This window comes from Homo sapiens, chromosome 1 (genome assembly GCF_000001405.40).
Source record: "Homo sapiens chromosome 1, GRCh38.p14 Primary Assembly".
NCBI classification, from domain to species: Eukaryota; Metazoa; Chordata; class Mammalia; order Primates; family Hominidae; genus Homo; species Homo sapiens.
Window position 1 is genome coordinate 21067493 of NC_000001.11, and position 14608 is coordinate 21082100.

The window sequence follows — 14608 nt, forward strand, 5'->3', positions numbered from 1 at the left end:
AAATATTAACAACAAGGAATCCTAACTTTCATAAATGTTATTAATCAGCAAGCAGATACCATGATGGGTAGAAAAAGACATAAAATTTTTAATAACCAGAATACAACTGAGTACCACATGTATAAATGCTTTTTAAGAAAAATACTTCAAAATAGAAGGGTAAATAAAATCTTAATAAGATACCTCTCCATTTAATACACCGTAAAGTCGAAGTTGAGCTATTTCCAAATCCTAGGAATCAGGTTCAAAGTGCAACACAGCACCACTGCAAGGGGAAAATCTGTCTAGACTAGAATAAGGAATCTTATCAGTGAGAGTTATTGAACTCTCTTAAAACTGCAGTTAAAAAATAAAAAAAGAGGCCAGGCACAGTGGCTCACGCCACTGCACTCCAGCCTGAGTGACAGAGCGAGACTCCATCTCAAAAAAAATAAATAAATAAACAAAAAATAAAATAAAAAAAGAAAACCCCTATGTTTGTATGTTTACTGTTCTGCAAAGTAGATTCATACCTTTCATCAGATTTTCAAAAGGGCCCTAATCCCCCAAAAATTGAGTATTGCTTTTGACCTTATTTGTGATCTTAACAAAAAGAAGGGTCCGGGCACAGTGGCTCATGCCTATAATCCCAGCACTTTGGGAGGCCGAGGTGGGTGTATCACCTGAGGTCAGGAGTTCAAGACCAGCCTGGCCAACATGGTGAAACCCTGTCTCTACTAAAAATACAAAAAATTAGCCGGGCATAAGGCACCTGTAATCCCAGCTACTCGGGAGGCTGAGGCATGAGTATCGCTTGAACCTAGGAGGTGGAGGTTGCAGTGAGCCGAGATCGTACCACTGCACCTGCACTCCAGTCTGGGCGACAGAGTGAAACTCTGTCTTTAAAAAAAAAAAAAAAAAAAAAAAAACAGAATACTTCACATGAACTTGTAGATTCAAAACAGACCTGTATTCAAATTACATGTCTCCAAGTCCCATTTTCCTTTGTTGTAAATAAAGGTTGTCATAAGTATTAAATAATATCATGAATGTAAAGCATTTAGCACAGTGTCTGGGACACTGTAGTCACTCAATAAATGTTAAAAGATCCACCAAAGTTCAAATCCAACCTCTACCACACACTACCTGGATAACTTTGGGCAGGATACGTCACCTCTGTGTCTATTTGCCAACTAACAATGGGGAATGTAATTATACCTACCTCATACAGTTGTCATAAGGATTGAGTTAATACACATAAAATGCTTAGAAAAGTAACTGTTACACAGTAAGTGTTACTTATAGTAATAAAGAAAATGTTCTACAGATTGAGTATCCCTATCTGAAAAATTTGGAACCAGAAATGTTTCAGATTTCAGATTTTGGAACACCTGCAAACAGTTACCAGTTCAGCACCCCCAATCTGAAAATCCAAAATCTGAACTGCTCCATTGAGCATTTCCTTTGAGAATAATGCTGGTACACAAAAAGTTTCAGGTTTTAGAACATATCAGATTTTGAATGTTTTGATTAGAGATGCTCAACCTGTATAAACTGTTCTGTTGAGTTTTTCACCAGTTAACTCCTCTGCCTAGGTTTGGTCAATTTTTGTTATCTATTTCATGGCTCATTACACTATGTAGCTGTAACCTTATCCTCCACCTCAAAGGCTTTAACTGATGTATGTACACTCATTCCAATATCTTGTAAGATGCAGTCCAAACTTGCTGCCCACCTACATTTTATGGCTTCTTAGAGTTCATCTAGATACCATCTTTCTCTGTTTAACCATGCTTCACTCCTCCAAGTACTTTTGCTTAATGAGAACCCAGAAAAACTATACCAGTAAATGTTACTACTTATTTACATATTTTTGTTCTCATTTACATAATCATTAATGTCTCTTCCTCACATTCCCACATGTACTTAAAACAACGTATCACCATCTTGCCTGGTAAAATGAGCACTCTTAAAGACAAGGATCATAGTGTCCACCACTGCTTTCTCACATTACCAGGCACAAAACCTTGCATATAGCTCTCATTCAATATATGTTTTCTAAATTAAGTTTATCTCAATATTCTTAAAAGCTCTGCAACATCTCCAATGTTTAGTCCCCTGGAAAAGCAAGCTCCAAGAGGCCAGAGGATCTTTCAGTTATTTTGTACTTAGGAAAACACAGAAAAGTAACTTCAAACACATTTTAGGCTGTCACAACAGGAAAGGCTGTTCTCTATTTAGAAAGAAAGGCCAAACAGAAAAAAGACTGAGTCTAACTCGTAGGAATTTTTACCGGGGGAGAGGAGGGGGTAGGAAAGCAGCAGCAGCATCTGGATTTCACAAATATTTGATGACACTGACTGTGAGGTTTGTCGAAAGAAAAGAGGATGAGCTAATCATGGGTAAGAATGAGATTTTTTTTGTTGTTTTACGTAAAAGGTGAGCACAGGAAGAATAGAGAAATGAAATATACTCAATCATGGTTATCTTATAAATCATTATAGAATTCAGTCAAAGATGATCTTTCAAAGTAATGCAAGACTTGAACTCAGCTAACTGTCCTATATTAAAATTTTGGAAAAATAAATTTAAGACCACAAAGGAAAACGGCAAGCCACAACTTATTACTGCTAATACAATATTATTTTTCAATAATCTAGGAAAATTTTAAGGCCACTGTGGAAAACCATTTGCATCTAGTGATTGAATCAGGATAGAATTATTACCAATTTGCATATCAGGCAGTGGCAACTAAGACTGTGGAAAAAAAAAGTTTGATGCTTACTTTCTCTAATTGCTACAATAATGTATAAACATGATTTTTGTTAAAAAAAAGAAAAAGTAGTGCCCTCTTTACCCTTCAAATCCCACTCCACTCCCTATGGCAAAATGATTAATACTCTGAAGCACATTATTACAAACCTTTCTATACACTTACAAATGTGTAAAAATAATAGCAACAACACAATAATAAATATTCAATGACATGTTTTCCTCTCCACTTATCAAAACATTAGAGATCTTTCCAAGTCAATAAACATACCTACTTCATTCTTGTTCTAAATGTTTAAGTAGTACTTCATGGTGTAGATATAACTACATTCTTCTTAACTATTAATTTTTTAAAACTCCTTAATGAAAAGAACTATATAACCTACTAACATTTTAAGAGCCAAACATGTATGTGCAAACATAAAATAAAAAACAAACTACCTTCTTTTTGCTAAGTTTCAGATATGTCAATTAATATAAATTGGAACCACCCAAAAACTGAAGAGAGGGCAGTTTTAGAATATCAAAGGTAAACTGACATTCCATAAACATTCTTGACAGCACAATAATAATTCTTAACTAGTAATAATAGACTGAATCTTTTTGTAAGTGTAAAAAGAAACTTCCAAAGAACTTGAAAGTGGACTAATTGATATTGTTGTCTAGTAAGTTCATTTTATTATATTTCATTCCATTTCTTGAGAGTAGGTACAACCGCTACCACCCCCTCATACCCTGCATACAATAGGTTCTTCAGTGCAAATGACTGATTTTCAACATTAGCTAATGCAATTCATATCAGATATAAAGAATAAATTGAAAATTCACATTAGCTTTAGTAGCCAAAATAAATGATTGATCTAATATAAGAAACATGTTAGCCAGGTGGCATGGCTCGTGCCTGTAATCTCAAAACCTTGAAAGGCTAAGGCAGGAGGATCATCTGAGGCCAGGAGTTCTAGACCAGCCTGGGCAACATAGTGAGATCCTGTCACTACAGAAAATGAAACAAAACAAAATTAGCCGGGCATGACGACATGCACCTGTAGTCCCAGCTACTTGGGAGGCTGAGGCAGGAAGATTGCTTGAGCCCAGGAGTTCAAAGTTAATTACAGTGAACTATGATCATGCTACCATGCTCCAGCCTGGACAACAGGGTGAGAACCTGTCTCCAAAAAACCAAAGAGAAACACATCCACTCCATGTAATCCTCCAGTGCAGTCCTGACACTCCACAGAAGGTTCCATAAATAAAAACTGTATCCACTACTACCATCTGCAAAAACTGGCATTTGAAAAGCACTTACACGGCCGGGCACGGTGGCTCACGCCTGTGATCCCAGCACTTTGGGAAGCCAAGGAAGGTGGATCACGAGGTCAGGCATTGAAGACCAGCTTGACCAAAATACAAAAATTAGCCAGGCATGGTGGTGCGAGCCTGTAATCCCAGCTACTCAGGAGGCTGAGGCAGGAGAATCGCTTGAACCCAGGAGGCGGAGATTGCAGTGAGTCAAGATTGCGCCACTGCACTCCAGCCTAGGTGACAGAGCGAGGCTCCGTCTCAAAAAAAAAAAAAGAGAGAGAGGAAAAAAAAAGAAGAAGAAAAGCACTTAAACAGCTACTTCCCAAATGCTATTTTCCCAAATAAGTTAAAGACAGAGAGAGAGAAGTAGCTTTTAAACATAAAGTGACAATAATCTACAACTACACCTAGGCAACACTATTAAAATTATATTATTTCTACAAACAACTTCCTATGGGATTATTAAAAATGAACAATGGGTCTAATAATATGGCAACGGTTAAGTCAAAAGAGAAAATATATTTAACACATGGATAATTATACTACAAGTCTTTTATCCCTTAACTTCCTAAGTTTTGTATCATGTACATCTAGTAGTTTATTAAAGGAGTTTACTTTTCTAAGGTAATAAAGTTGGACATTCCAAGATGACAAATATATAATAAGTATTGATGATAAATACTAAAGTTTGAAAAGCAACACCACTGGCTGGGTGCAGTGGCTCATGCCGGTAATCCCAACACTTTGGGAGGCCAAGGTACAAGGATTCCTTGAGCCCAGGAGTTTGACGCCAGTGTGGGCAACATAGGGAGATCCCATGTCTATACAGAAAAAGACATTTAATTTTTTTATTTTATTTATTTATTTATTTATTTTGAGATGGAGTCTCACTCTGTCGCCAAGGCTGGAGTGCAGTGGTGCTATCTCGGCTCACTGCAAGTGCTGCCTCCCAGGTTCACGCCATTCTCCTGCCTCAGCCTCCTGAGCAGCTGGGACTACAGGTACCTGCCACCACGCCCGGCTAATTGTTTGTATTTTAGTAGAGACGGGGTTTCACTGTGTTAGCCAGGATGGTCTCGATCTCCTGACCTCGTGACCCGCCCGCCTCAGTATCCCAAAGTGCTGGGATTACAGGCGTGAGCCACCACGCCTAGCCTTTAATATTTTTTAAAAATAAAAAAGCAACACTATTGAAATGAAAGTCATAAGCGTTTTATCTAACACCACACTAAGCTTGTTCAGATTTCATATCAAATAAACGGTATGAATAGTTTCTTCATTGTAGTTGTAAGAATAGAATACTTACTGATGGTGGCAGCAGCTGCTGGTACATATCTGAGTGATGACTGTGTATCAAGCTCTAGGAGGTTTAAATGGATTTGTCTCATTTAACCTTCTTAAGAACCTTTGGAGATCAGCACTATTATTATCTCCATTTTACTCATGAGGAAGGAAACTGAGGTGCAAGAAACTTACCCAATGACACACACAGCTGCTAGTGGAAGCGCCAGGATCTGAATTCATTTGGTCAGATTCCAGAGCCACTTAGCTGCTCTTAACATTCTGCTCCCCATGTAACCTATAAACTCCAATTCATCTGCTAATAAATATGAGTATTTTCATGATTTAAATATTATGTCATTCCCTTAGTAGAAACTCTTCAACAGCTCCTTCTATACATCAGATAAAACCCAAATACTTTATCAAAATCTTACAAAATTACATGACCTAGATTTTGTCAGCCTCTAGAAGGGCATTTTCAAACGCCCTTGCAGCTATTCACATTTAAATTAATGAAAATTAAATAAAATTTAAAATTCAGGTCCTTAATTGCATTAACCACGTTTCAAGTGCTCAAAAGGAAATGCTCTACTGGACAGCACGGTTCTGAGCCACCAATCATCAGGAGGCTCCCACCTTAAGGCCTTGGAGCTCTGCAATATCTATTGGGAAGGTTTATGCTCTTCCTCTTCATCCATGAACAGCTGAATACATTTCATGGTTCAGGTATCACCTAAAATGGCATCTTCTCACAGGAACTGTAGGCCTCACAGCATGGACCCCTCTAAGTCTCCCTGGGCACACGCCACATGCAGATTTCGGTGCTTTCCCAACCTTCTTGGTATAAAGGTCGACAATTCTATTACCAAGGGCTCATGACAGCCTAGTTTTGTTAGAGACTGTATTGTAGGGAAGTCTATGATGGTATTGTCACATGCTGGATCATTCTGAGTGCCTGTAGACAACGTCCCTGGAAGAGATATTTTTATTTTTTAATGGAGACAGGTTTTCACTTTGTTGTCCAGGCTGGAGTGCAGTGGTGTGATAATGGCTCACTGCAGCCTTGACCTCTGAGGCTCAAATGATCCTTCCACCTTCTCTCATATCTTAACAGAAATGATCAGTTTTAAATCTTGTTTCTCTATTTCTAAACACTACAATTTTCATTATTTTTTACTTTCATATGTTTTTCTACCACCATCTAGTAGAGTACCATAGATGGTATTGAACAAATACTGGCTAGATGAATAAATATTAATAATATTAACCAATCTTAATAATTTTGCCTAACGTTTGAGAAAATCTAGATTCAAGTTTCTCAACAGTGACACTACTGCCATTAGGGCCAGGATAATTCTTTATCATGAGATTGTTGCATGCACTTGGATGTTTAGATACTTACCTGGCCTCTACCCACTAAATGACAGCAGCATCCTCTGTCCATCTCCTCAACCCTCACCAGCTGTGGCAGTCAAAAACATCTCCACACATAACTAAATATCTCTGGGGGTAAACTCACCTCCAGTTGAGAACAACTGACTTAGGTATTTCCAAATGACTGGCAAATTCTAAGCTAAACATTATAAGAATGCCTAACATTATGAAAATATCTAAATGCTATCATCTCGTATTTAAATTTATCAAATACAAAAATCTGGATTTCTAACTATGGTCAGTTATCATTCATAAATGCTACTGGAGAAAAAAATAATAATAATTTATATACATAAATCTTCTTACAACCAAATCCTTTCTGTCTTAACAATCAAGAAAATTTCATTACTTTTCCATACCAAATAATTCAAACGCATTAAACAGGAAAAAAAGATTAAATGGCTAAGAAGAAAGTTCTTTAAAAATTCCTAATTATTATGTTCCTACAGAATTAGGAAGATTATAACTGCTGTGTAATAACTTGGAAAAATATTTTCCAATACAATGTTGTATTAAAAAAGAAAACTAATCCAGGTACACTGGCTCATGCCTTTAATCCTAGGACTTGGAGAGGCCGAGCGAGGTGAGAGAATCGCTTGAGCCCAGGAGTTCGAGACCAGCCTGGGAAACACAGCAAGACCCTGCCTCTACAAAAAGTAAAGTATTCGCCGGGGTGGTTACCGTAAGTGAAAAGATGATAATCACAATCATGAAAACATGGGAAAGTATAAAACTCACTGATAGATCAGATACACAAAGAAGAAAGAAAAAAGAATCGAATCTTATCACTACAGAAAACCAACAAACTGAAATAATAAACAAGGAGAGGGAAAAAAGGAACAAAGGATATACAAAACAACAAGAAAACAATTAACAAAATGATAGGAATTAGTACTTATCTATCAATAATAACCATGAATGTAAATGAATTAAATTTCCCAATTAAAAAATATAGACTGGCTGGATTAAAAAACATTACACACCTATATGTTGCCTATAGGAAATTCCCCGTAAAGACACACATAGGGCCGGGCAGGGTGGCTCATGTCTGTAATCCCAGCACTTTGGAAGGCCAAGGTGGGCAGATCACCTGAGGCCAGGAGTTTGAGATGAGGCTGGCCAACATGGTGAAACCCCATCTCTACTAAAAATCCAAAAATTAGCCAGGCATGGTGGTGGGTGCCGGTAATCCCAGCTACTTGGGAGGTTCAGGCAGGAGAATCACTGGAACCCGGGAGGCGGAGGTTGCAGCAAGCCGAGATTATGCCATTGCACTTCAGCCTGGGCAACAGAGTGAGACTCCAACTCACAAAAAAAAAAAAAAAAAAAAAAAAAAAAAAAAAAGACAGACATAGACTAAAAGTGAAGAGACAAAAAAAGTTACTCATCACAAACACAAACCAGGAGTAGTAGCTATACTACTCCTGCCTTATAAAACAGGTTATAAGTCAAAAACTGTAAAACAGACAGAAAAGGTATACCATATGATGATAAACGGATCAATTCAGCAAGAAAATATAACAATTATAAATACATATGCACGTAACAAAAGAGCCCCCAGACATATATAGCAAGTACTATTTGATCTAAAGGGTGAGATAGACTAAAATAAAATAATAGTTGGGGACTTGAACTATTATTCAACTTAAATATCCCACTCTCAGCATTGGACAGATGATCTAGAAAGAAAATAAATAACCAAACGTTGGATTTAAACTGCATTTTAAACGAAAGACACCTAACAGACATTTACAGAACATTTCATCCAACAGCTGCAGAATACACATTCTCTTCATCAGCACACGGGTTCTCCAAAATAGACCACTTAGGCCACAAAACAAGTCTCAGCAAATTTAAAAGAAATAAAATCATACCAAGTATCTTTTCTGACCGATATACAATGAAACTAGAAATCAGTAACAAAAAGATCTTTGGAAATAGATCTGTACAAATACATGGAAATTAGGCAATATCCTCCTGAATGAACAATGGATCAATGAAGAAATGAGGAAGAAAATTTTAAAATTTCCTGAAATAAATGACAGTAGAAACACAAAATACTAAAATCCATGGGACACAGCAAAAGCAGTAGTAAAACGAAAGTTTATTGCAATAAACACCTACATCAAAAAAGCAGAAAGAAAAGCAAAAGCAAAGCAGCAGAAAAGCAAAAAAGCCAAGATATGCCCACTGCACTCCAGCCTGGGAGAGAGAGCAAGATCCCATCTCAAAAAATAAAAATAAAAAATAAAAAAATAGAGACATGATACTACCTAACTTCAAAATATGCTGCACAGCTACAGTAACCAAAACAGCATGATACTGGACTAAAAACATAGACCAATGGAAGACAACAGAGAATCAAGAAACAAATCCATTTATTTATAGCCAATTCATTTTTTTAAGGGTGCCAAGAATATACACAGGAGAAAGGACAGTCTCCTCAATCAACAGTGCTGGGAAAACTGGATATCTACATGCAGAGAAATGAAACTAGATCCCTATCTCTAACCATATACCAAAATCAAACCAAAATGGACTAAATATTTAAATGTTAAGATCTGAAACCATGAAACGAATACAAGAAAACACCAAGGAAATGCTTCAGAACATTGGTCTGAAAAAAGATTTTTCTTTTGGGTAAAATCTAAAAAGAGAAAAAAGCAAAACTAGAGAAGTGGGATTATATCCAATTAAAAAGTTTCTGCAAATTTAAGGAAACAGTCAACAGAGTAAAGAGACAACTTACAGAACGGGAGAAAATATATGCAAACTATACATTTGACAATTGATTAACAGCCAAACTATATAAGAAACACAACTCAACAGCAAAAAGAAAAGAAGAAAAAAATCCAATTTAAAAATGGGCAGGCAGTGATCTGTAATCCCACTCTGGGAGGTCAAGATAGGAGGACTGCTTGAGCCCAGGCATTCAAGACCATCCTGGGCAACATAGTGTGACCCCATAGCTACAAAAATAAATAAACAAATTGGCCTGGTATGGAGGCAGCATGCTTGTAGTCCCAGCTACTCAGGAAGCTGAGGCAGGAGGATCACTCAAGCCCAGGATGTTGAGGCTGCAGTGAGTCAGGATTGCACCACTGTCCTCCAGCCTGGGCAACAGAGCAAGGCCCTGTCTAGAAAAAAAAAAAAAGAAAAAAAAAGGACAAATGATCTAAACAGACATTTCTCAAAAGAAGATATACAAATGGCTGACAAGTATATGAAAAGTGCTCAATATCACTGATCATCAGGGAAACACAAACGAAAACCACAATGAGATTTCATCTCCCTCCAGTTAAAGTGGCTATTATTAAAAATACAAAAAAAAAAAAACGGGCCGGGCGTGGTGGCTCACTCCTGTAATCCCAGCACTTTGGGAGGCCAAGGTGGGCAGATCACCTGAGGTTGGGAATTCGAGACCAGGCTGACCAACATGGAGAAACCCCATCTCTACGAAAAATACAAAATTAGCCAGGCGTGGTGGCGCATGCCTGTAATCCCAGATACTCAGGAGGCTGTGGCAGGAGAATCGCTTGAACCCAGGAGGCGGAGGTTGTGGTGAGCCAAGATCACATCATTGCACTCCAGCCAGGGCAACAATAGCAAAAACTCCGTCTCAAAAAAAAAAAAAAAACAACAAAAAGACACTGCCGAGAAAGCAGAGAAAGGAGAATGCTCGCACTGCTGCTGGGAACATAAGTTAGTAAGGCCACTAAGGAGAACAGTATAAAGGTTCGTGAAAAAACTACAATAGATCTACCATATGATCCAGCAATCTCACTGCTGGGTACATATCCAAAAGAAAGGAAATCAGTGCATTAAAATTATAAGTGAATTCTACAGCATTTAGAATTTATAGCATTCATTTATTTATTAATGAATTCAGTGCAGAGATAGCTGCCACCCGTGTTTACTGTAGCGCTATTCACAATAGCCAAGATGTGGATCAATGTAAGTATCCATCAACAGAATAATGGATAATATAAATGTGTCATATATACACAATGAAATATCACTCAACCACGTCCATTTGCAACAACAGAAATGGAAGAGGAGGTCATGATGTTACATGAAATAAGCCAAGCAAAGAAAGAAAAATATCATGTCTTTACTCCTATGTGGGAGTTAAAAAAAAATTCATCTCATGTAGGTACAGAGTAGAATGATGGTTACCAGAGGCTGGGAAGCATGGAAGGGTGGTGAGACATATGAAGACTGGTTGGTTAATGAGTACAAACATACAGTTAAATAAAAGGAATAAGTTCTAGCGTTAGCAGAGTAGGGCAACTATAGTTAACATTCATTTGTTGTATATTTCAAAATAGCTAGAAGATTTCAAATGTTTCTAACACAAAAGATAAATATTTGAGGTGATAAATATCCTAATTACCCAGATTTGACCACCACACATTACTTGCATGCATCAAAATAACACACGTGGCTGGGCATGGTGGCTCATGCCTGTAATCCCAACACTTTGGGAGGCCAAAGCAGGTGGATCACTTGAGGTCAGGAGTTCGAGACCAGCCTGGCCGATATGGTGAAACCCCGTCTCTACTAAAAATACAAAAATTCGCCGGGTATAGTGGCGTGCACCGGTAGTCCCAGCTACTATGGAGGCTGAGGCAGGAGAATCGCTTGAACCCAGGAGGCGGAGGCTGCAGTAAGCTGAGATCATGCCATTGCACTCCAACCTGGGCAACGCAGTGAGACTCCATCTCAAATAAATAAATAAAATAGCACATGTATCCCACAAATAATTATTAAGTATCAATTTTTAAAAGCAGAGATGTAAAGATAAATGATTCTTCTAAAAAAAGTATAAATAAATCTTTAGTTTAAATGATATATTTGCCATCTGTGCTAGATGATAGGACAATCAAACAGATTTACATCTGGCTGGACACCATTGCCTAAAGAATATTGATCAACCCAAGCTAAACTTTTGTCTCTGGCGAGGTATCTCCACTGAAATCCTAGCCTACTCAATAGTGACCTGGCAAATACTCAACAGTGGCCTGGCAAAAGAAATAAAAGCATGGTTCTCTAATTAGATTAAACAAAGCTTTAGGGTAAAAGAATCAAGATTTTATAAAATATAAAATGGCTAAATGTATCATGAGGCCAGGAGCAGTGGCTCACACCTATAATCCCAACACTTTAGGAGGCTCAAGCAGGAAAATTGCTTGAGTTCAGGAGTTCAAGACCAGCCTGGGCAACATAATGAGACCTTGTCTCTACAGAAAAAAAAAAAAAAAAAATGCTTTTTAATTAGCCAGGAGTCATGATGTACATCTGTAGTCCTGGCTACTTGGGAGGCTAAGGCAAGAGTATCTCTTGAGCCTAAAAGGTTGAGGCTGCAGCGAGCCATGACTGAGCTACTACACTCCAGCCTGGATGACACAGTAAGACCCTGTCGCAAAAGAAAAAAAAAAAAAAACTCATGAAATTTTATGGCATAGCTGGGCATGGTGGCTCATGCCTGTAATCCCAGCACTTTGGAAGGCTGAGGCGGGAGAATTGCTTGAGCCCTGACATTAGAGACCAGCCTGGGCAACACAACAAGATCTCATCTCTACAAAAATTTTAAAAATTAGCCAGGCATGGCCCGGGTGCGGTGGCTCACTCCTGTAATCCCAGCACTTTGGGAGGCCGAGGCAGGTGGATCACCTGAGGTCAGGAGTTCGAGACCAGCCTGGCCAACATGGTGAACCCCGTCACTACCAAAAATATAAAAACTAGCCAGGCGTGGTGGTGGGTGCCTGTAATCCCAGCTACTCGGGAGGCCGAGGCAAGAGAATTCCTTGAACCCAGGAAACAAAGGTTGCAGTGAGCCAACACGGTGCCACTGCAGTCCAGCCTCGGTGACAGAGTAAGACTCCAACTAAAAAAAAAAAAAAAATTAGCCAGGCATGGTGATGCATGCCTGTAGTCCTAGCTACTTGGAAAGCTAAGGGAGGAGGGATAGCCTGAGCCCAGGAGTTTAAGGCTGCAGTGAGACATGATCGTGCGACTGCACTCCACCATGGGCAACAGAGAGAGACACTGTCTCAACAAAAAAAAAAGAGAGAGAGAAAGAAGAAAATAAATTTTATGGCATTGAAGAGGAATTATCTGTAGTCAGCTAAAATCATGCCACTGTACTCCAGCCTGTGCAAGAGCGGAGGACCCCGTCTCAAAAAAAAGAAAAAAAAAAGAGCTATTTATTAAGAAGTAATTTAAATAATTTATAGGAATTTCTTTCTTCCTTTATTTTTTTTGGAGGGGACAGGGTCTCACTCTGTTGCCCAGGCTCGAGTGCAATGGCGCCATCTCAGCTCACCGCAACCTCTGCCTCCGGGGTTCAAGCAATTCTCCTGCCTCAGCCTCCTGAGTAGCTGGGATTACAGGTGTGCGCCACCATGCCCGGCTAATTTTTGTATTTTTAGTAGAGATAGGGTTTCACCATGTTGGTCAGGCTGATCTCAAACTCCTGACTTCGTGATCTGCCCACCTCAGCCTCCCAAAGTGCTGGGATTACAGGCATAAGCCACCGGGCCCAGCTGTGAATTTTTCATAAGCAGTTACTAAGATAACCCTTCCAACCTCACAGAATATAAATTTCTCCTTCTTTTAGTAATGTCATTATTCTATTATTAAGTTCATCTCTGCAATTATATTAAAAATACTAGCCTGATAGTCATAAAATCTAATTTCTCTAAGTAAAATATATACGACAAAATTATAGAACATAGTAAAATTCCACAGTTTATACTGCAGAGGCAGGCCAATATAAGAAAGTTATCAATTAATATTTCAAATTAACCTATGTTTCTTTAGTTTTGACATTTTCCCTCCCCCATTTAACATATGCAGCTCTCACTAGACCTTTTAAAAATATGTACTTGGGCTGGGCGTGGTGGCTCACGCCTGTAATCCCAGCACTTTGGGAGGCCGAGGCGGGTGGATCACGAGGTCAAGAGATCAAGACCATCATGGCCAACATGGTGAAACCCCGTCTCTACTAAAAATACAAAAAATTAGCTGGGCATGGATGGTGCACACCTGTAGTCCCAGCTACTCGGGAAGCTGAGGCAGGAGAATCACTTGAACCTGGGAGGCGGAGGTTGCAGTGAGCCAAGATCGCACCACTGCACTCCAGCCTGGGCGACAGAGTGAGACTCCATCTCAAAATATATATATATGTGCTTGATTCTTTTTTTGTTCATATGATCAATCACTCAATTATGGCTAATAAGGAATAATGACATAAGCTTCTCTCTCATATCTGATAAATGTTCCCAGGGCAAACTTACAAAAACCAGGTTAAAATAAACAAATACAAAATAACTAGACTAAATGTAACATGAACACATTCCAGAAGATGAGTCCAATTTTTTTTTTTTTTTTTTTTTTTTGAAACAGAGCCTTGCTCTATTGCCCAAGCTGGAGTGCAGTGGTGCATCTCGGTTCACTGCAACCCCTGACTCCCGGGTTCAAGCAATTCTCATGTCTCAGCCTCCCAAGTAGCTGGGATTACTGGCTCACGCCACCATACCCAGCTAATTTTTTGTATTTTTAGTAGAGGCGGTGTTTCGCCATGTTGGCCAAGCTGGTCTCGAACTCCTGACCTCAAGTGATCTAACCGCCTCAGCCTCTCAAAGTGCTGGGATCACAGGAGTGAGCCAACCACGCACAGCCCCAACTTTTTTTTCTTAATTTTTTAAAAATACAGAGACACGGTCTCACCATGTTGCCCAGGCTGGTCTCAAACTCCTGAGCTCAAGCAATCTTCCCACCACCTTGGCCTCCCAAAGTACCAGGATGACAAGTGTGAGCCACCGTGCCTGGCCAAGTC

General features: G+C 38.9%; 1 protein-coding gene across 63 annotated transcripts in view, besides 1 other annotated feature; it reads right to left on the reverse strand.

Annotated features, from left to right (window-relative positions):
* EIF4G3 (eukaryotic translation initiation factor 4 gamma 3) overlaps positions 1 to 14608 on the reverse strand; it is a 370606-nt gene that overhangs the window by 261201 nt on the left and 94797 nt on the right. The window lies entirely within an intron of this gene.
* Positions 506 to 676: a silencer, noted in NCBI's record as "fragment chr1:21394491-21394661 (GRCh37/hg19 assembly coordinates)". NCBI's record gives its function as "represses an EF-1alpha promoter that drives an FKBP-Casp9 reporter gene in an ReSE screen in K562 erythroleukemia cells {active_cell/tissue: K562}" and the evidence as "EXISTENCE:reporter gene assay evidence [ECO:0000049][PMID:32094911]".